We start from the raw sequence: 22,981 nt of genomic DNA, 5'->3' as shown, positions 1-22,981 counted from the left end.
ATTTGACTTTTGGAGTCATGGCTGACCAACCTGCTAAGATCCAGCAATAGGTGGGATGTGGGGATTTTCAGGAAGGGGAGTGGTAAGTTCATGGGAATGTGGAATTTAACCTCTCTGCTTCCCCGACCACCACAACAGCCACTAACCTCCCAACTCTGCCAGCCCAGTGGAGCTGCCTGCTAAACCTTGCTGATTCTGTCAGCAGCCCGTCTTCCCTTTCCTTCCTTTTCATGTCCTCTGCTTCTTCATGAATTAGCTACAGTTCTGCACTGGCTCAAGATGAAGGGGCTATGGACAGAATATAGAAAAACCTTCATAGGCCAAGCACAGTGGTTCACACCTGCAATCCCAGTGCTTTGGGAGGCCGAGGTGGAAGGATCACTTGAAGTCAGGAGTTCGAGACCAGCCTGGACAACATAGCAAGGCTGTCTCTAAAAAAAAAAAATAATAATAATAATTTAAAAAGTTTAAAAAGAAAAACCTTCCAAAATTAAGAGACTGTTGAGTTTCTTGAGGAACGAAACAGAGCTTTCTGGGGCACTCTGGCCCTCTCCACTACCTCTGTCTGCTCTGTCCTCCTCCTACCTCAGCCTGCTCCCTCAGGCAACTCATCTTTTACACACCCCTTTGTCTACAGATTCTTCGCTACAGAGAAGCTACAGAGCTCTCCATATTTTCACCAGACCATTCTTTTCAACATTCCAGTCCCAAAATCTCAAAAGACTCTGATTGGCCCATTCCCACGCATTTTTGTCGCCTTAAGGTAGGTATCCTGTCCAGGTCTAAACAGAGGGAGCTAGCAAAGGAGGTTTTGGTCCTGTGGCCTGGCATGGTTTCCTCAGCAGAAGAGGGGAATGGGGGGGAAGGTTAAGTTTGGTGACTGCATCTCTAGGTAAGCACTAAAAACTTTCTTTTTTTTTTTTTTTACCTTGAAGAAGGCTTCAGAGAGAAACACCAGCTGGCTGAAAGCAAAGCACTTGTTATTCAAAGCATTTCTAGACAGAAGACAACCTTGACTACCATCCTCAATGAAATAGCAGCTCTTAGACTGGCTGCTTTCTAAGCATTATTTCCAAGCAGTCCCTATTGGCCTGGCAAAATGAAGAAATGGGTCTGTAGCTCAAAAGATAAACTTAGACTGGAGATTAAAATGTGGTTGTCGTCAAGACAAGGCAGTGAAGAGGGTGGCGGTGGGTTTGCGAGGGTGCGCAGAGTGAGTCTTAGAAGAACAAATAATCCTGGGATCAGGGACGTTTAAAGGATTGGCAAAGGAAGAAAATTCCTGAAAAACGGAAAGTAACAGCCAGGGAGACAGAAGTCTCAGAACCAGAACCTAGCCAAGGTGGGACAGAATTTGAAGGGAGAGAGCGCCAGTTCTAGAAAGATCAAATAAGAAAAGGGTGAGCTTCAAGAAGTGAAGGGCCAGGCGTGGAAGAGGCCATCGGGAGCCCCGTGCAGTATCCCCCATAGTCGGGAAGAGGCAATGCCTCCGGCGCAGACATTTGCGGGTCCCAAGGTCACGCGTAGGACGCTGACCGGGAAGGACAGCCCCGCCGCCTTCCCGCGCCGGCTCCTGCGCAGTGTGTGACGACGGTGCCCTCTGCCGGCGACAGTGGGCATCACACTGCACGCGGAGCCCCTCCGCTTGGGGAACCCGAGCATGAGCGGCTGGCAGGCGCGGGAGTCTCTAAAAATAAAGCTCACTACACGAAAGGAGTCGGGAGAGGACACCACTGGGATGGGGACGTTTATCCTCCTCTGCACTTCTCCTTGGTCAAGTGAACTGGACCAATTTTATCCAAAGCAACGGTTACGCCTGGAGCCACAAAAACTCCTGAGTCCGAGTCAGCCCCATGCTGTGGATTGAGACTCGTCGTGACCCGCCAGGTGCGGACCATCTGGAGATGGCGCGGCATAGTAGGCATCAGGGCGGCGCCGGTACCTGAGCCTCACCGCTGAGCCCAGGAAAGGGGGAGAGGGAAAAATGAGACGCAAGCTGGGAGAGGACGCATCGGCTGCACAATGCTACCATCTACCGGACTCGTCCGGGAATGCTCTGCCTGCCGCGCGCTCGCCGGGCTAGCCCCAGCCCTGGACTGCAGGGGCGCCGCGTGCAACTCAACAGCACAAGGCGCTGACATTAGTGGTGGGTTTTCAGGCACAGCAACACTGGGAATCACTGACTCACGCAGCAGCTCAGGAAAATAAGCAGTTGCTTTGTGTTTTGAGGTTCTGGAAATTGGTCATGAATTTTTTCATCTTAAAACAATAAAGAAGCTTCTAGAAAGAGAAACACTACCATGGGCAAATGAAAGAAAGTCTCCAATAAGTGTGAAAATAAAAAGCAGACTAGTCTTTGGGGTCTGGAATGGTGTGGGTGGCAGGCTTTGGGTCAAAGTCACTTTGGGTCTTAAATATGTCAGCTCCTTTGGGTTGTTTCCTCATCTGTAATATCACAGTAAAGTGGGCCTCCAGGAATGTTTTGAGGATCAGATACAATGATCCTTGAAAAGAGCTTGGAGAAGGATAAAATTATATGTCATCACTGGATGTGATCAAATGCAAACTCTTGTTCCAAGTTAGGGTTGACTAAGCAAGATCTCCCACATCTAGGATTTTTTGGTGTTGAGAGGACTATTAGTGTATCTCAATTCTATTTTTCCAGGTAGTGTTTTCAATAAAACCTGACTTTTTTTAAGGCTTCTCCCATACCACCCCCAGGGATGTTGTGAAGAATTAAATCAGTTTCATTAAAAGCTCACCTCTGTCCTTGGAGAACAGCTACTAGAAAATGATTAGGGTATTTGTGTTTTGGAGTTGTATTTGTTGATAAGTTGAAATAAAATGTCAATCTTATTTTTAGAAGCTAAACAAAACATATGCTAGACATTTTTGCAGTGAGTACAATTCTTCCAGTATTGCTGTTAGCAAAAAACTTTTAGACAAATTAACAGTTTATTTGAGCAAAGAACCATTCATGAATTGGGCAGCACTCCAAACCAGAAGAGGTTCAGAGAGCCCTGCCCAGTAGTGTGGGCAGAGAGATTTTAAAGGCTGAACAGGCAAGCAAAGCAGAGAAATCACCTGATTGGCTACAGGTAGGCATCTGCCTTATTTGGACATGGTGTGATGAGTTGGCTGCTGAGATTGGCTGAATCCTATTAGTTGCTTGTGATTGGCTGAAACACAGCTGTTTGTTACACTAGATATTTCATTTCTAGGTGAGGTAATGACAATGTTCTAAAATTGCTTGTGATGAAGGTTGCACATCTCTGTGAATATATTAAAACCACTGAAATGTACACTTTAAATGAAAAAATTACATGGTATACAAATTATAACTCAATAAAGCTGTTATTTTTTTAAAAATACACTGTAATTTTGAATATAGTCAATATCTGAAATTTCAGGGTCTAATTCACTATCAACTTACAGTGTTACCTCAGGCAAATTTCAACAATGTTGCTGAAACTTGTTCTCTGAAGATACATTGACATAAGCAATGTGATTGTTCCCTTTGAGAAGGGAACTGCACAGTGCCCTGTTCCTTTTTTTATATATAATTGAGATGGGGGTCTCACTATGCTGCTCAGGCTGATCTCAAACTCCTGGGCTCCACTGTTTCCTTTTGAGAAGCCCAACAAACAAGTCTAAAGGAGTCTAATGTAGGTTGTTCTTTGTAGCTGATGCCATTTTTCAAAGATGCCCTTAATAATATCTTCCATCCTACATGCTCTTCTGCAATGTGGCCTTGCTGCTAGAATCTAGTTGCTCTCAGCTTGAATCTACGCTAACTTTGGTAATTCACCTGTCACAAGAGAAGCAGAATACATGACACTGTGTGGCTTCCAAGGCAAGATCAAAGAAACCTTGCAACCTCTGCCTTGCTCCTTTAGAATGCTCACTTTCAGACACCCCTTTTCAAGACTCCCCCTCTCACAGCTCAGTTGCACTGTTGTAAGATTCCCAAGCCATGTGGTGAGGCTGGGTACAGGTGCTTTGTTCAGTGGTCCCAACTGATCCCAGCCTTTGAGTCATCCCAGCTAGATGTATGTGAAGAAGCCTCTAGATGATTCCAGGCCTCAACCATTCAAGCCTTCCTACTGAGAACCCAGACATGGTGGAGCACAGACAGTCACCCCTGCATGCACTGCCCAAATTTCTGACCCATAGGATTTATGTGCATAATAATATGTTACGATCCGAAGTTTGGAATTGTATGTTATGCAGTCATATATTACTGAAACATTGTTCTAATTAAGTGGTCAAATTCTGTTCCTCTGACAACCTGACCAGTCTAGGGCCAAGGAACAAGGAAAAATATCAATAGAGACCACTTACTGGGTATCCATTATATGCCAGAGTGGTGCTAGGTGCTTTCTACACTTTATCTCTAATTCTTCCAGAAACCCACCAGGTATGTGGTATGAGCCCCACTGGCTAAACAAGGAAGCTGTAGTGAGGTAACTTTGAATAACTTACCCATGGTTAGATAGACAGTGGATAGACAGCTGGACATGCACGCTAATCTCATTATACTCTCACCACATCCAAACTATGTGCTTTCCCTTACAATGTAACCCCCATCTCCAACCCCCAGACTCTCCACCAGTAATGCAAGACTAGAACTGCAAGAATAGTATTGAAGTATGTGAAGAATTATGACGTTTTTTGTTTCACTGTCAAAACTACAGGAAATCTGTAGAATACCGAGGGGTAGAGGTGTTAAAGGTGTTTGTTTTCATCAATTCACTTTATAAAAATAAATTTAAATCATAAAAAGGAAATGAAGGAAACTTTCAAAATAGAGCAGATTTCATTTTTCTGGCCTCCCTGACCTGAAGTCAAGACTGATAAAGGCATAAGGAGACATTTTTCCATCCTAAGTCAGACTTAGGGTAGAGATCTGGCTGGGTCATTTATTGTCCTGAGGACCCAAGAAGATGGCCAAATTGTGGGAGATGACTGAGTAGACCAGGACTCTTTGGGGAAAGGCCAGAACCTAGGGTCATCTGGAAGGTGTTAGGGTTGATCAACCCCTAGACATTTCTACACCCCCTCACCACACAACACAACCACACCCCCAAGCAGTAGTTATATAATTATTCAGTATACAAATTGTTTATTTAATGTCTATGTTAGTCAGAGTTCTCAAAAGAAACAACTTATAGGAGATAGATGACAGATACATACATACATAGATGAGAGGCAGAGAGAGGGAGAGAGATTTATTATAAGGAGCTGGCTTACACAACTGTATTAATCCGTTCTCATACCACGATAAGGAAATACCTGAGACTGGGTAATTTATAAAGGAAAGAGGTTTAATTGACTCACAGTTCCACGCGGCTGGGAGGCCTTAGGAATCTTACAATCATGGTGGAAGGGGAAGCAAGGACCTTCTTCACATGGCGGCAGAAGAGAGAAGTTTCAGCAGGGGAAATGCCAGACACTTATAAAACCATCAGATCTCATGAGAACTCACTCACTATCACAAGAACAGCATGGGGGAACCGCCCCCATGTCTAATCACATCCCTCCCTTGACATGTGGGGATTATGATTTGAGATGAGATTTGGATGGGGACACAGAGCCAAATCATATCAATAACTATAGAGGCTGAGAAATCTCAAGATTTGCAGTTGCCATGCTAAAGACCTAGGAGAGCTGCTGGAGTGATTCCAGTCTGAATCCAAAGGCCTGAGAACCAGGAGAGCCAATGGTGTAAGTCACAGCCCAAGGGTAGAAGATTGATGTTGCAACTCAAGCAGTCAGGCCAAGGAAGTTCCCTCTTAGTCAGTTTTTTTGTTGTCTTCAGGCCTTCAACCAATTGGACAAGCACCACACACGTTTAGGGAGGAGAGTCTGCTTTGCTCAGTCTATCAATTCAAATTTTAATCTCATCCAAAATCACCCTCACAGACACACCCAGAAAAATGTTTGACCAAATGCCTAGGCACCCTGTAGCCAGTCAAGTGGACACACAAAATTAACCATCACAATGTCTACTGCCCCTGCCAGATGATAAGCTCCCCAATGCCTGTGACTATTTCTTGCTCCCAGACATAGTCCCAGAACCTAGCATAATCATCCATCATAAAGAAGCTGTTAACATAAATATTTGTTGAATGAATGAGGCATCACCCCTAGGAGGCTTCTTCATTGACATTAAACCGCCAAGTCCCCTATGAGCACCCAATTATGACCATGCTCACCTGAGTGTGAAATAGCCGTCATTCTGTGAACTGCCTCTTAAATTTCAAAGTCTAAAGCAGATGACCTACCCAGTCGCTCGCTACCAGTAACAGTGATATAGAGTGAAGAAGCAGAAGCTAAAAATAGACTAAAGACATTTAGGGATGCAGATGAATCTAGAGTAATCCAATAGAAATGTAATGCAAACCACATGGGTATTTTATATTTTCTAGTAGGCACAATTGTTAAAATTAAGAAGGTAGGTAAAATAAATTTTTATTATATTTTACATTATTATAAATATAAATTATAGTTTTTAAATGTAAGTATTTCACCCAACATATCAAAAATATTATTTCAACATATAGTCAATACAAAATTATTAATGAGGTATCTACCTCCTTTTTTCCTTTCTTTTCTTTTTTTTTTTTAATGTAAAGACAGGGTCCTACTATGTTGCCCAGCCTGGTCTTAAATGTCTGGGCTCAAGCAATCCTCCCTCCTTGGCTTCCTAAATTGTTGGGATTACAGGTGTGAGCCACTGCACCCAGCCTTACCTTCTTTTTTAAAGCCTTTGAAGTTCACACACACATCTCAGTTTAGACTGGCCACATTTCAAGGGCTCAGTAGCCAAGTGTGGCTAGTGGCCAACACAGTCTAGCAGGCAGCAGCATAATGCCTGACTACTTGCAAGCAAGGACTAGTGGCATCCTCTGAAGCCCTGGTTACTTAGTGAGACTGACATGAGGTTCCGTGGGATTAAATGTCTTTGTCCCCTTGTCTTCTCTGATTTGAGAAAAATCAGAACCAGGATAACCATGCACCAGAACCCTGTGGATCCAGAAGAGGCCAGAATTCAGGACCTACCCTGCTCCTTACAATTGGTGAGACCTGAGGAAGTCACTCAATCTCTCCAAGTGCCATTGTCCTCGCGAATGAAACAGCATTGTTGAGAGAATGGAATAAGACAGTAAAACCCTGTGCAACTTCAGGATTTTAGGCTGAACTCCTCAGGCATGGAACTAAATTGGGGTCTTGCTATTGGCCTCTTCTGCACAATGGCTGAGTCTTGAAGTGGGATATGGAAGGGAGTTTCCACTTCCCTAGGACTTCCTGGGACCCCTGAAGGAAGTTAGTCCACAGTCCACAAGAGGCCACTGGAGGGTGGATTTCATGGTTGCCACTCACAGAGGGAGCCGGTGGTGTTTCCCAGTTCCTTGATGCAGGCTTCTAGGCCAGACATAAGAGATTTCACATAGAGCAAACAAACTTCCAGTGCAGCGAATCAGTGGTGCCCTCTATGATGTGCTCAAATGATGCACATGCCCTCACTCTCTGCTGTTTTGAAATTATCCCAGGAGCTCAGAGAGCTGTGGACAGGGACACCTACCTGGCGTCTGCGTGGAATGATGCCAGGATCCATCACATTAGGAAGACATTTCCAAACTCATGTGAGGCCCTTGCAGCTGCTTCAGATCCTCTGCCCACCGCCTGCTCACCTTCAAATTTTCTTTAAGAGCAGCTTCTAAATGCTATTGGCATTTAGAAATCTGCCGTGTTCTCCTATTCTGTAGTTTGTACGTTGGTTTCCATTAACCTCTTTCCAAATGTTATCAAATTCATATCTCCATTTATGATCCATCAGCCTCTTTATCTCTCAGAAAGGCAACAGAGGAAAAAGAAACAAGCCCAAATGGCTTTTTTGGCTGCCCATAGCGTTCTTGGAAATCTGTTAGCGATGCAGCCAGTGCCTCCTCTCCTATTGTTGGTCCCAGCTGGCAGGCATGGGCTGACAGTGCATTCACCAGCATCTGTGTTGTTTTATTCTGCAGAATAAAGCCTGGTTCTTTTCTTCCCTCTACCAAAGTAAAAGAGAAGTCATGGGTAACTTGTACATTATCTGCGTGAGACAAAAATGTGTCGGATGCTTCCTGCTGCAGTGGGACTGGCAGAGAGAGTAGCAAAGGCACGCACCACTTCTAGGGCCCCTGCAGAGGAGCCACAAGCTCCCAGGACTGTGGAGAGGATGGATGGAAGAAGCAGGTGCAAGAGAAGAGGACAGATGGAGAACAGAAAGAAGGTGGAGAAAAGGTTAAAAAAAAAAGAGGATAGTTCTGGCAGCAGGGAGGAGACATGTCTGTTGGATGCCTATGTGGTAGGCATGAAAATGAGCCACCCAGACCATCCTTCAGGAAGCACTTGCTGTGCAGCTGCAGGAGGTGGCCAGAGCAGGCAGCCTCTGACAGCAGCTCAGGGGCTGCCTCTGCAGCTGGAGTTGCCTCACCCTAGAACACCTCCTTCTCAGGGAGCCAGGTCTGGTGACTGAGTGAAGCAAGGCTCTAAGGGCTGGCCATCTCAGCCCCTCATGGGACAATGCAGATGGACAATACTCACTGCAGGGCTCCTCGGGTTGGCCAAGGCTCTCCGGGGCCCACATTACAGCTCAACCTGTCCCTCTGCCCAGTTCTTGCTTCCCCCCGTTTCTAAGCGCAGGAGCTGATCCCTAATAAATGTCTTGCAACCCAAACTCCATCTCAGCATCAGCTTCCAAAAACCTACACTGCAATGGCCTAGATTTTATTGTACCAGATACTTTACATGTTACCCCCTTAATCTGCACTAATATATTTTTTATATATATATATATGTGTGTGCATATATATGTGTGTATATATGTGTGTGTACATATATATAAATTTGTCCCCTTTTGCATCTAAGGAAACCAAAGCTCTAAGAGGGTTTATAACTGGCCCTCGGGTCACATGGCAGTAGAACTGAGGTTAAACTGAGCTGATGCAGCATCAGTGTGTGATACGCCCTTTCTACCACATCCTACCACGCTGGGCTTGCACATCAGAAGACCATCCAAATAACTGCTGATGAACCTGGAGGACACCAGAAAATCAGGGAAGGAGTGAGTCCCTTTAAGAAAACAGTGAAGATGGGAGGACACTGCAGTCAGTATCCCTTGGACAGTCCCTTGCACCAAAAATACTCCCCTCACCTGGCCGATTGCTGACTACAATTCCTTGCCTTCCAAAATTGGGGAGAAAAGCTAACATATAAATCCTGAGAAGCGTCTCACATGCACTTGCTGTACTCCTGTGGGTGAGTCACAAGCCCCAGGCATCCCTGTCTGTGCTTCTGTCATCCTCCACCTCACCTCCCTGCTCAGCCTGCCCTAGATCCCTCCTATCACCAAGGGAAGAAATCTGATAAACTAACTCCTTCGGAGTGACAATGTGTGTTTACATTTTGCAAGACAATTCAGGGAGGGGAAAATGTTTCACCCAAGCAGCCGGGCTCTGGGTTGGGAGGTCATCTTGAGGCAGGAGCATCATGACACTAGCTGTCACTTCATAAATTTGTGTTCGCAAGTCCAGCATGCCCGAAGCCATTTATTTCTTCCTAGTTATGTTGCCTGTAATTGGGATAAGATAAGGTAGATAATAGTCACTTACTAATTATCTAGTGGTAAAAATAACTATCCTTTACATAGGTATGGATAACACAGATATTTTCTAAAAGCCAAAATAGAGTTATTCATTAAGCAACATCAGTAAATACTAGACTCTAAAATATAATACACAATTAAGGTAAGTTTTTTAATAAAAATCATTTGAAATTTAATTTTACTAGGCTCTTAAATAAGTCCCTTTAATCTAAGCTTAGCTTCCCCTGGGCTGGATGAGCATGGCCCTGATTCCCTCACCCTGTGACACTGGGACACTGCTTTAGCATGCATCTACATTTCACCACCCTTGATGTTGGCAAGTCTGTGAATCCTCCATCCAATGAAGAGATCCAGAATATGCCGCTTCAAAACGTGCCACTTTGGCATAAGGATTATTTTGAGCTGAAGGCAATTGAGAATCAACAGATGCAGGAAGAGTTCTCTGCCCTCCTCTTGTCTGCCTAAAAGCAGGGTGTAAATTTCCCTTTGTGAAAGTGTCCCACCCTTCACCCCAATACCGGGGAGCAAAAGCAGTCATCACCAGAGACAGAGAGTTGACACCAAGAGGAGTCTGCAAAAACAGACCCCACTAAAATAAGGTTTTATCTTCCATTAGTTCTCCCATATATTTTTCAGTCACTTCCCTACCCTGTCTCATCCTCTGAAGCCTAAACCCCCTTTCTTTTGTTAAAATGCGATATTAGCCCTGGAGCCTAACTAACCACTTCTTTGAGTTTCACTTCTTTTCTGTGAACTCCCATGCACGTAAAATACGAATAAAACTGTATGCTTTTCTTTTCCTGCTGTTAATCTGTCTTTGTTAGTTTAATTTGAAGGCCCCCAGGTACTAAATATAAGAAAGTCAAAGAAACGCTTTTTCGTCTCCCACAACAACTACAAGCACCTTTTTTTCCCAAACCAGAGAGCCTCTTTGTTACTGCTGACAGCCTCCCTCTGTCATGTGTCTCAGGGACATCCTGCCTAATAATGCAGGCTGTCTTTGTTCTCACCTTCAAAGAAAAACACTTTCAGAAAGATCCAGCTACTGAGAGGGAAACCCCATAATCTCCTGGTGTCTTGCTTCTCCAGGAGCAGGAAACTTGAGACGTGGGGTAAGCACCAACCTGGAAGTCAAGAGGTTTGGGTTCTTTCCTGACTCTACTCTGTAACCTTGACATTAACCAGACCAGGGGTCAGTTCCTTTACAGAAGGAAGGAAAGGGAAAGAGAGAGAGGAGGGGAGGAAAATGGGGGAGAGAGGAGGAGGCAAGGGAAGGGGCGGGCAGGGAGAGGAAAGAGAAGAGGGGAGAAGGGGAGGGCAGGGAAGCAGCCAGGAGAGGTGATTCTAGCCCCAGCTCCTCTGCTTTCTCCCAGAGTCACCGCGAGCCAGCCCCTCACCTCTCCGAGTTTCCATTTTCCCATCTATAGACTGAGAGGAGTGGAAGGTGCCTAGATCAGTGCTTCTCAAGGTGTGGTTCCTCCACCAGTAGCATCAGCCACTGTTACCCCAATGCCAAAGGTCAGTCTAGGTCCTGCTGTTCACCACGCAGAATGCCAATCACTGAGACAATGACTATTACCAAAGAAGAAGGCTTTCACTTGGCTCAGCAGCCAAGGAGAACAGGAAACAAAGCCTCAAATCTGTCTCCCTGGCCAACTAAAACTGGGGGGTTTCTGTACTGGTAGAAGGAATGTAGCTATAGGCGGGAAGGAATTAGGGCAGGATAAACAAGCAATCATGACAAATGAAGGGTCTGGCTGTCATTATCCAGTTGCAGTGATCTGGTGACTTTTAGTCTCTTGCCTGAGGGCTCATTTCCTGAGGAAGCAACCCAGATGAGGCAAACGAAAATTTCAAGTTTTAAAACCCCGGAGGGTCAATTTCTACATTTGTTTAAAAAAAAAAAAAAAAAAACCTGTAAATATCAGTTCTATGGGAAAATTCGACCAGTTTCACCACCACAATGTTGGCATGAGGATCACTGGGGAATTTATCAGAAATGTTAATATTTGACCCTTTCCCAGACCAACTAAGGAAGAATCTCTAGGATGCACCCCAGAAATCTGTGTTTTAAGAACATTTCCAGGTGATTCTCACTCAAATTTGAGAACCATAGGCCTAAACAATCTTACAGGTCTCTTCCAGATTAAAAAACCTCAAACTCTTTTTGCCCTAACCATAAGAGTTTTTGCCCCAACTTTAAGTCTTCTTCCTCTCCCTCCTCCTCCTCCTTCTCTCTCTCTCTCTAAAAAAAAAAAAAAAAATCCTGCTGCAAACTTCTCTCCTCTCAATAGATTGCTAACTTCAAGAGACTTAAAATGAAATTTGCATTCAGTTATTTCCATAGCAATCTTAACAAAACCATTAAGATGTTTTTGTTCTTTAATTCATCTGTTCCTTCTTTTAAAGGGACTGTGTTTCTTTTTCAGCTATAAATCCAATCTTATCTAAGGATAACCCTTAAACACACTTCAGCAGTACATAATTGTCGTCCCAGTTAGCGGTGTAAGGAATGTCATTAAGTCATATCACCAAATTGATCCTCAGTGACAGCTTTCCCAAAGACCAAGATAAAACTGAACTTACACTCATAAGTCCACAGGAAAGAATCTGTCTCCACAGTACTCCATCCACCTTTATTGACTTCACACTCTACACACTGACCCTGCCTCCAGAAATAGCTACCAACTTTCATTGGTGAGCCATCCTGCCCTGCTCTCAGCCCATGTAGTTCTGGTGCAGCTGACTCTACACCCAGCTCCAGGCTGGGCCAACAAAAGCCTTCATGGCCCTGGACACTCTACGTGGTTCAGAGACGAACACGTGACCAATCAAATCAAATGAGACACTGACTGGAACTTCTGGGAAATAAACCTGTATTCACTGAGCTAAAACCTGAAATGATGAAGCCTAGAGTTCCACAGCTGTTTTGTTTTTTGCTTTTGGTTTGGTTTGGGTTTTGGAGGTTTTGGGGAGTTTTGATTTTTGTTTGTTTGTTCGTTTGCTTTTTGAGACAAGGTTCACTCTGTCTCCCAGGCTGGAATGCAGTGGCATAATCACAGCTCACTGCAGCCTTGACCTCCTGGGCTCAAGTGATCCTCTTGCCTCAGCCTCCTGAGAAGCTAGGACTACAAGTGCATACCACCATGCCTGGCTAAATTTTTTGTTAATTTTTTGCAAAGACAGGGTCTCGCTATATTGCCCAGGCTAGTCTCAAACTCCTGGGCATAGGCAATCCTCCTGCCTCAGCCTCCCAAAGTTCTGGAATTAGAGGCATGAGCCACAGTACCCAGCCAGAGATGTTTTAAGACTATGAGGGAAACTTGTTTGAGATGAAGCCACCAAAGAGGAATAAGAGCTGAGAGGCCAGGAGAGAGAACCTGGAGCCAGATGACATCATTTCTGAGCCTGTATCAAACCAAGCCTGAAACCAGCTACACTCTGAACCTTTCAGTACAAGGTCCATTAAATTTCCTTTCTGCACTGGGTTGACTTTCTTATCACTAACACCAAAAACATTTTAAAGTAGAAATTCATACAGCATTTAATAGGCAATTTATCAGTGTCTACAAAAAGAGTTTCTTATGCATAATTCTTGCCCTAACAATTTTACTTCCAGAAATATATTCTGAAGAAATGCTCTCACAATTATCAAAATATATGTATACAATCAAGAAATTCATTAAAGCATTTTGACAAACGATCCTTTGGGAAAGGATTGGAAACAACTAGTGTCATTCAATAGAAAAACTTATTCACAAATTATGTTGCATTATGCCATGAAGCATTGTGAAACGATTCAGATAGATCAATATAACTGAGATGAAAAAAGTCAGATTTTTGTTGATAAGTAAAAATAACCAGTTTCAAGCTGTGTTTTAAATACTATTTTTGAAGTGAGAAGAATGAATGCATGCATGTGTTGAAAAGGTCTAAAAGGATCAAATGGTTTACAGTGGTAATTTCTGTGGAAGGGGATGAAGGACCATTCACTTTTAAATCATTTTTATATGGTTAATTTTTTTTACCTCAAACATAAATTACTTTGGCATAAGAATGATACAATAGACTGTAGGAACTCAGGGGAAAGGGTAGGAGGGGGTGAGCGATAAAAGACCACACATTGGGTACAGTGTACATTGCTGGGGTGATGGGTGCATCAATATCTCAGAAATCACCACTAAAAAACTTATTCATGTCTGTTCCCCAAAAATCTATTGAAATAAAAAAAATTAAATATAAATTATTTTGGTAATTAACAAAAAAAATGGACAAAAGAAAAAACAGTAAAAAGCAATACATTTGAGTAGTGTTTTGGATAAGCAAGCGTGTAATCAGCACCTACTGTATGCTAGGCTGTATGCCAGGCACGGGGAATCGCAGATGAGCCTCAATGTAAACACAACACTGGGCAGCCTATCCACACACACCCTAGAGTCACTGTGCCCCGCCTCCTATTGTGAAGACTTGGCCATAATGAACGACAGGATGAATTCATCTCTTAAGAGTGAACCCAGCCGGGTGTGGTGACTCATGCCTATATTCCAAGCATTTTGGGAGGCCAAGGTGAGCGGATCACCTGAGGTCAGGATTTCAAGACTATCCTGGCCAACAGGGTAAAACCCTGTCTCTACTAAAAATACAAAAATAAACCGGGTGTGGTGGCATGTGCCTGTAATCCCAGCTACTCAGGAGGCTGAGGCAGGAGAATTGCTTGAACCCTGGAGGCAGAGGTTGCAGTGAGCCGAGAGCATGCCACTGCACTCCAGCCTGGGTGACAGAACAAGACTCCGTCTCAAAAAAAAAAGAGAGAGTGAACCCATGGATTTTAGCACAATGTGGGGCAAAGCCAGTGCCACCAAGTTACCATTCAGTGCTATGAGGAAAAATTCTTGGATGCGTTTTATACAACAAACTAGTCTTGCACGGGCTCCTGAAAAATCCAGAGCTGCGTGGTTATGAAAGTGCTGGGAAAGCCAATTGTTTGGCACAGACTTGAAGCCCAACGGCCCCATTAAGAGTATTTGCTTTCATTCTGTGAAACAGGAAAATGGGCTTTCGATTGGAAGGGCATCTCAAACCAAAATCAGTGGGGCCTCGTGTGCCGGGCTGATGCAACCCCTGAAAATTGACCTGAGATGGCCAACTTACATCCCCAAACAGCATTTGCAGAGGAGGAGTGAGCACTGTGTTCCTTCCAGCCATGGGAAGGTTATAGTACCCTTGTTCTATCACCACTCCTGGACAACCCAGTTTCCATGAAGCAACAAAATTCTCACCACTCTCTAATTTATCCAATCATGTGTTGATTATGTTCTTGTTACTGCACTGTGAACTCCACAAGGGTAGCACCATGTCTATCCTGATCTCCTCATCTATAGCACAGGTCTTGACACTTCATAGAGGCTCAATGAACACTGCTGGATTAATAAACCCATTCTTCAGACAAAACACAACTTTTTTGCCAAAAAAAATGTAAACCGATGTAAAAAATGTAAACAGTGTTTTCATCTCCCTCCTCAGCTGCACTACAAAACTGAGAGTTATAGATTAAGGAAGAAGAAAATGAGACGGTGCATGTGGAATCTTCTGCACACTTTAGAGAACTATACAAATGTTGGTGAATATCATTACCACGATCTGAAAAGTGTGTAGGAAACTAGTTAACTTCTAAGTAATGGCTTCATCATATTCCCTTCTTAATAGATGATTTTGAAAATAAAAATCAGCCAGCAGTTGGCACTTCAATAAGTGGATTAAGGCATATTTGTGTTTATATTTTTTAGCAATCTCCCTCATTTTATGAATTTATGATGTTAATGAAGAGTAAAACAGAACCCCAATCATAGAGTCAAAGCCTCTCAGAGCTGGAAGGGAACATAAGTCAAGTATTCTACATCTTCTTACAGATGCAAAAACTGATGCCCAAAGAGGTAAAGCAACTTGGCTAGCTTCACACAACTAATTCTTCAAAGAACCAGGACAAGATCCTTTGTCTTCTGGCAGACTTTCCTCCTCTACATCATGCTAGGTCTGAAATTCTGATTGTGTTGGTCATTGTCAGACAATGGTTGGTGTCTGTCTTTTCAATGTAAAGTCAATACCCCCAGTGCAAAAGTTAAATCAACATTGCACTCAGTGTCAATGATAACAAATCATGCTGCTTCAAGCTAACAAAAATGGCCTTTACCTGCAGACGGCTCTTTCTTTCCTTCTTCTCCCCCTCGTTCCCTTCCCTTCAAAACCCACACTTGTCCTGGATACCCCAATGCAAATGCCAGTCCAGAAAACTTCAGCAGCTAAATGCCAGTCAGCGCAAAGCCCTATTCTCAGCTGCAGTAATAAAGCAGTTGAAAATGCTGTGCATTCCAGTCACAAAAGATATGATTTCTGCCTGAGATTGTCCGATAACAGAAATGAATAATGGTTCTTTGCCTGAAAATACGTATTGATTGTTGGCTGTGAATTTCACCGTGGATAATGCTGAAGTCACCATCCTTCAAAGGTGTGTGAATTGAAGTTGCTGTTACCTAATCCTTGCAGGATGATTTGTAGCAAGAGACAAGACAAGGCAGGAGAAATGTCTACATGTAGGTCAGGCTGGACCTTCTCCAACCAATTTTCCATCCCAGATTATTTAATCTTCACTTCTAAGGTCCCAGTTTATTACATGCAAAGGACAGATTGATTGCCTGCATTTGACTAAGATGAAGACAGCTTTGTACTCTTGAATCTTTTGCAGAACTTAATTCTTCAAAATCACCCCATATTCCCAGGCCCAGCCACTACTGAACAACTTAAATATCTGCTGGCCTGACCTACCCCAGGCTGTATGTACTTTCCGTTTGCCTGTGAATGGGAACCAAATGGAAACCAGCACATACTCCTGGGTGTCATCAATTCTCCTCAAGCCAAACCAAACTTCATTCTAGCTCCTCAAATGCAGCAATAGTTCTTTGATATTTTTCACTTTCTGATGCTTAAAAGCATTAAGGACTACTAGCTAATTTGGCTACTAGAATACTTTTAAGTCCTGCAGAATGTGGTTGGTTAGTCATAGATGATTAACAGAGGAAAAGAACAGTGTCCAAGTGTCAGCTTCATGTTACTCTAAACTCCTAGCAACTAGGACATCAGAGTCTGGTGAGCTCAGAAATTCTAAGTGTGTGAAGCTTCTCACAGGGTAGAATTCAAAGGACTCCCAAAGTTTCCTTAATCCAGAACACTTCTCCAGCAACCTATTATGATACCTAAAATTTTACCATTAAAGATTTGTTTCAGGCCAGGCACAGTGGATTGTGCCTATAATCCCAGGACCTGGGAGGCTGAGGCAGGAGGAACACTTGAAGCCAGGAGTTTGAGACCAGGGTCAACATAGCAAGACCCTGTCTCTATAAAAATAAAAAGAAAAAAATTAGCTGGACATGATGATGCATGCCTGTAGTTCCAGCCACACAGGAGGATGAGGCAGGAGGATCGCTAGAGCCCAGGAGTTCGAGATCATAGCGAGGTATATTTGTGCCACTGTGCTCCAGCCTAGGTGACAAAGTGAGACCCTGTCTCCAAAAAAAAAAAAACATTGTTTCATTTGAGTTCAATCAAAGTGAGGTCTCTGAATGGCCCTTGTAAGAATCCCAGAAGCTAAGCTCTTAGAGGGCTAGCTATTATCTCCACATTAGCGGAGGTGTCTTCTAAGTTGACAGGCACTGAGCACAAGCCTTTATGAGAATATGAAACATCCAGATTGGAGAGAGACATGAAGAGCAGGAAATGAGTCACAGAAAAGAGGCAAAGAAGGCACTTAGGTACCACTTCCCAATTTAGTCCAGAATCTGTTCAAGGAAAACACCCATCCAATTTATGAGAGAAATTAGTCCCAGTGAAATGTCCAGAGAATAGAAGTGATAAAATTCCCCATGACATTCTTGGAACCTTTTTTTCTAGAGACAGAGTCTCACTCTTTTGCCCAGGCTGGAGTACAGTGGCTGAATCATAGCTCACTGCAGCCTTGAACTCCTGGGCTCAAGTTATCCTCCCCACCTCAGCTTCTCGAATAGCTGGGACTACACAAGTGCACCATCACACCGGCTAATTTTTTTATTTCTTGTAGAGACAGTCTCACTATGTTGCCCAGGCTGATCTCAAACTCCTGAGCTCAAGCGATCCTCCCACCTCAGCCTCCCAGGGTGCTGGGATTACAGGTGGGAGCCTCCACGCCCAGCCTCCTGGAACTTCAGTAAAACCTAAAGTAGGTTTTTATGCCTTTTCATTCCTGTAACTCACATCATTGGTTGCCACCAGGTGCCTAATCAGGGAAACTAGGACAAGTGGGTGGACACACTTGAGGCAAGCAGAAATTAAAGAGGAGAAATGTACCGTTTAACATAATCGAGTGTCATTAAAAGATTTTTAAATGCTTTCTAAAGTCAGCAAGACAAATCAGTCGACTTCACTTTCTTTTTTTAAAGTGTAAAAAATTGCCACTAGAGTGGGGAAAAAAAATCTCTTGGATGCATTAGTGCTTTATCATTGTCGTCAGCTCTTGCTTTGCCTAACTAATGACTCAATCATCTCTCTCCCTCTGATCCAATCATGTTTCTTCTACCCCAGAGTTGGAGGAGAGTCAATTTCCTCATACTCAGCCGGTACTTAGACCCTGGGCGTAATCCTGGCCTCTTTATCATCTCTTTTCAGGAAGGCTACTAACTGAAATTCTTCTTCTCTAAATGAATTCTATAATGACCCAGAGCCCATATTCACTAACTTTCTTTCCTGGCTTGTTTTATGTAACTATTATAAAGGTAATACTGAACTGCTGGCATCCCACCTACTTAGTGTGTATCTGTTTTGCTCCTTCCCATTTCTACTACTAATAGAAACAGTTTGTCTCTTGTGTTTTATGACACCAAACCCTTGAAATGATCTAATGTAACCTTCATCATTGGACCCACTGGCTTTGGTAAAAACCTGCTGGGGATAGATTCTCCAAATGCTCTTCTCTCCATCTTTGAATGTATCTCTTTATCCATTGCCCCTTCTTCAATCCTATCTCAGGAAAAATACTATACCCCTTGCTCTCTGAGACATAGTATTTCCACTTCCACTCTTCCTTGGCCTTGTCCATTTTGCCTCCTGCTGTATCTTGAAATACGAACTTTTTAACCCTAAACCGCCACCCTATAAATGCTTCCTGTCCTCTGTGTTCTCACTCACAGCCTCTAAATATGCATCTGGGTCACCTAATTAAAACATCTCAACCCTCCCTCCATGTAGAAAGTGCAGACACTAATTCAATGGCTACTTTATATCCTTTAAACGATATATCCAGAGTGACAGGCACATAGCGGATGCTCACAATGTGGTCGTTCCTTTTCCCCAACTGTAGTGGATTTGTTTCTCAGCCTTCCAGCCATAGCTGAGGGAGGACAGCACAGTGGAGGGGAAACAGGCAGATCTTTAGAGTCATGCAGACAAAAGTGTCCTCCCCAGCTCCCCCACCTGCCGTCATATCTGTATAACAGTGTGGGTTGTTGACATCTCAGTCAGATTCTGCATAGTGAATTAATGTGGGGCTTTCCTTTCTCCTACCTTCAAGGGCAGGGACCATGATCTCAATTTATCTTTGCATCAATCTTCAGTTCCAAGAGACATGCCTGGCAAAAAGGAGCTATTCAGCACATATTAATGGAACCAACATGCAACAGAGATAACTGAAGATGATATTAAAAGTAATATCAGACACCATGGGGATAAGAAGGGGACGAGGGGAACTAGGTTTTCAGAAATGCCAAGAAATTCCTGGAAGTCAAGAGCAACTCTCCAGAAATGGACAAGAGAGAAAGGGTAAGGAAGGAGGTACAGTGATCACCAAAGAAAAAAGAGTAAGAAACTAAGGAATGCAAGACCAAGGGACTCTGATATTTGGTGGATTCTCTAGTCCTTTTTTAACAGGTACACTTCTATTAAAAATTGAAATGATTCTACAACATTTATATGAGGATTTTTAGTCATTAGATGCTTTTTATGTCCATTCTCTCTTATCAAAAAGGTGCAAGAATTTTCAACCTATTTCTGTTGGGTGCAGGGAGAAGAGGAGGAATAAATTGGAGGAGGGATTAATTATCTGAAAGAACATCTGGGAAACATAAGCAGGCATGGGATTCCAGAAACGATAAGAATCTCCCCTGAGGTCCAAACAGAAGGAAAGGAAGTTTCCTTTCAACCCTCTTGAAAGGACTTGAAGGGGGTTTTGCCCCTATTTTAGCCTTTGTTGTTTCAAAATAATGTAGGATTTTGTCTTCCATAGTTTTCATCATTTATTTATTTATTTTGGTGAAAGCATGTATAGAGAATTACAGAAGGGAATCCATGTATTATTTAGAACTAGCAGCTACACATAATCATTTAAACTAAAGATGGTTGATCAATAATTCTCTACACAGAAGAGAATTCTCTCTCACAGAGGAAACAAAAGGTTTTGATGTCTCAAGTCCTCTGAGATTGCACCTACAGCATTGGTCACAAGTTCCTACAGCCAAAATGCCTTTATCAGAAAGGAACATTCTAGAAGAGGCCAAGCTAATTATGACATTAGAGCCATTATCAAGAGAAGAAGCCAGTGGCTAGCAAGCTCTACGTGCTTGAAAAGACCATGATGTATTTTCTGTGTGTGTGCTCTCCTCAGAGGAATAAAAGACAATAAATGGACCAGGTATGGTGGCTCTCACCTGTAACCCCAGCACATTGGGGGGCCAAGGATGGAGGATCTCTTGAGCTCACAAATTCAAGAGCAACCTGGGAAATAAAGCGAAAACCCATCTCCACAAAAAAAAAAAAAAAAAAAAAAAAAAACACTAATTAGCCCATGTGGTGGTGCATGCCTATAGTTCCAGCTACTTGGGAGGCTGAGATGGGAGGACTGCTTAAACCCAGGAGGTCGAGGCTGCAGTGAGCCATGTTCTAAAAAAAAAAAAAAAAAAAAAAAAAAAAAAAAAAAAAAAAAAATTCTTGGCCTTGCAGGGTGGCTCATGCCTGTAATCCCAGCCTTTTGGAAGGGAGGCAGATGGATCACTTGAGCCCACAAGTTTGAAACCAGCCTGGGCAATATGGTAAAACCCCATCTCTACAAACAATACAAAAATTAGCCAGGTGCAGTGGCACACACCTGTAGTCCCAGCTACTCAGGAGGCTGAGGTGGGAGAATCACCTGAGTCCGGAGGCGGAGATTGCAGTGAGCCGAGATCGTGACACTGCTCTCCAGCCTGGGTAACAGAGTGAGACCCTATCTCAAAAAAATAAATAAACATATGCATACATACTATCTTTACCATGTTTTAAACCCTAGTAGAGTCTAAAGATGGAATTATGAATTTTTAATGTTTTCTTTTTTTGTAACCCAAATAAAACTGGGTATTTCATGATGAGTCACAATACAGTTTTGCATTCAAAAGAATCCAAAACCCAAAAGAAAACATTAAAAAGCAATGTACATTTTTATGGAATTCTTTTGAAGAGAGTGGGAAGAGTTACTAGATGGCATGACACTTGTGAAAACATCTTTAAAATCATATATATATATATATATTTCTTCTCAGTTTCACAGCGCACAGCTAGGCGGATACATACAAAATTTTGTCCTTCTTTCTCTCCATCTGACCCCAGCTCTCTGCTTTGGGGTCTGTTCTGTTCTTCCAATTGCTCTGGGCTCTTTTGACTAAAAATTATTTCAGTCTTTCTGTCCTTACAGTTCTGCAACCTCACATTTTCTCAGCAGAACACTAGATCCTGTCTTCCTTTGACAGGGAAGGGAATGGGAAAAGGTGTGATTACTTACACATTCATACTTTTTAATGTTACAGACTCTATCATATCTGTATTTTCTAAATCCTTTTAATGAATATGTATAACATTATAATTAAAAAGGCATATTTCCTTTTTTCAATAAAACACAGAAGGTCTTTAAAATGTACCTTAAAAGACTGTACTTCCAAGGATCATTTCTGTAGTGCATCATTAGAGAACAGGAGAAAGGGTAGAGCATCGAAGAAGGACAAAAACCATATGATCATCTCAATCAATGCAGAAAAAGCATTTGATAACATTTAAAATATCTTCATAATAAAAACTCTCAACAAACTAGGCATGGAAGGAACATACCTCAACATAATAAAGGCCAAAAATGACAAATCCACCACTAACATCATGCTGAATGGAGAAAAGCTGAAAGCCTTTCCTCTAAAAACTGAAGCAAGACAAGGATGCCCACTGTATTAGTCTGTTCTCACGAAGACTAATATGGGGCTATATTAAATTACCCAGACTTGGTAATTTATAAAGAAAAAGAGGTTTAATAGACTCACAGTTCCACATGGCTGGGGAGGACTCACCACCATGGTGGAGGTGAAGGAGGAGCAAAGGTGTGTCTTACATGGCAGCAGGCAAGAGAGTTGTGCAGGGGAACTGTCTTTTGTAAAACCATCAGATTTCATGAAACTTACTGTCACAAGAACAGCATGGGAAAACTCACCTCCATGGTTCAATTACCTCCCACCAGGTCCCTCCCACAACATGTGGGGATTATGGGAGCTACAATTCAAGATGAGATTTGGGTGGGAACACAGCCAAACCATATCACCTGCTTTCACCACTCCTGTTCACCACAGTACTGGAAGTCCTAGCCATTGCAGTCCAGCAAGAGAAAGAAATTAAGGGCATTCAAATTTGTAAAGAGGAACTCAAATTATCCCCCTTTGCAGATGACATGATCAGATATCTGGAAAAACCTAGAGATTCCAACAAAAAACTCTTAGATCTGATAAATAAATTCAGTAAAGTTTCAGGATACAAAATCAATATATAAAAGTCAGTAGCCTTTCTATACACCAATAACAATCTAGCTGAGAAGGAAATCAAGAATCTCATTTACATAGCTACCAAAAGAATACCAAGGAATAAATTTAACCAAGGAGGTGAAAGACCTTTACAAAGAAAACCACAAAACACCAGTGAGATAAATTGAAGAGGATACAAATAGAAAGATACCTGGTGCTCATGAATTTTAGAAGTTAATATTGTTAAAATAAACATGCTCCCCAAAGCAATCTACAGATTCAATGCAATCTCTGTGAAAATACCAAAGTCATTTTTCACAAAAACAGAAAAAATAATCCTAAAATTTATGTGGAACCAAAAGAAATTTATATGGAGCCCAAATAACCAAAGCAATCCTGAACAAAAGGAACATAGCTAGAAGCATTACACTACCTGACTTCAAAATATATCACAAGGCTATAGAAACCAAAACAGCAAGATATTGGTATAAAAACAGACACA

The 22,981-nt window shown here is 42.7% G+C and overlaps 1 long non-coding RNA gene across 1 annotated transcript in view, besides 3 other annotated features; it reads right to left on the bottom strand.

Annotated features, from left to right (window-relative positions):
* The window catches only part of IGFBP7-AS1 (IGFBP7 antisense RNA 1), a 95,538-nt gene that overhangs the window by 39,512 nt on the left and 33,045 nt on the right, over positions 1-22,981 (bottom strand). The window lies entirely within an intron of this gene.
* Positions 2,113-2,162: a silencer, noted in NCBI's record as "silent region_15460". NCBI's record gives its function as "represses an Ori minimal core promoter by ATAC-STARR-seq in GM12878 lymphoblastoid cells {active_cell/tissue: GM12878}" and the evidence as "EXISTENCE:reporter gene assay evidence [ECO:0000049][PMID:35858748]".
* Positions 7,979-8,487: an enhancer, noted in NCBI's record as "H3K4me1 hESC enhancer chr4:58023467-58023975 (GRCh37/hg19 assembly coordinates)". NCBI's record gives its function as "activates a minimal SCP1, AML or CMV promoter by ChIP-STARR-seq in primed H9 embryonic stem cells {active_cell/tissue: H9 hESC(primed)}" and the evidence as "EXISTENCE:reporter gene assay evidence [ECO:0000049][PMID:30033119]".
* Positions 8,488-8,997: an enhancer, noted in NCBI's record as "H3K4me1 hESC enhancer chr4:58022957-58023466 (GRCh37/hg19 assembly coordinates)". NCBI's record gives its function as "activates a minimal SCP1, AML or CMV promoter by ChIP-STARR-seq in primed H9 embryonic stem cells {active_cell/tissue: H9 hESC(primed)}" and the evidence as "EXISTENCE:reporter gene assay evidence [ECO:0000049][PMID:30033119]".

The sequence above is a fragment of the Homo sapiens genome, chromosome 4 (genome assembly GCF_000001405.40).
Source record: "Homo sapiens chromosome 4, GRCh38.p14 Primary Assembly".
Lineage (NCBI taxonomy): Eukaryota > Metazoa > Chordata > Mammalia > Primates > Hominidae > Homo > Homo sapiens.
Note: the sequence above shows the minus strand (reverse complement) of the source record. Positions and strands in the feature narration are given on the sequence as shown.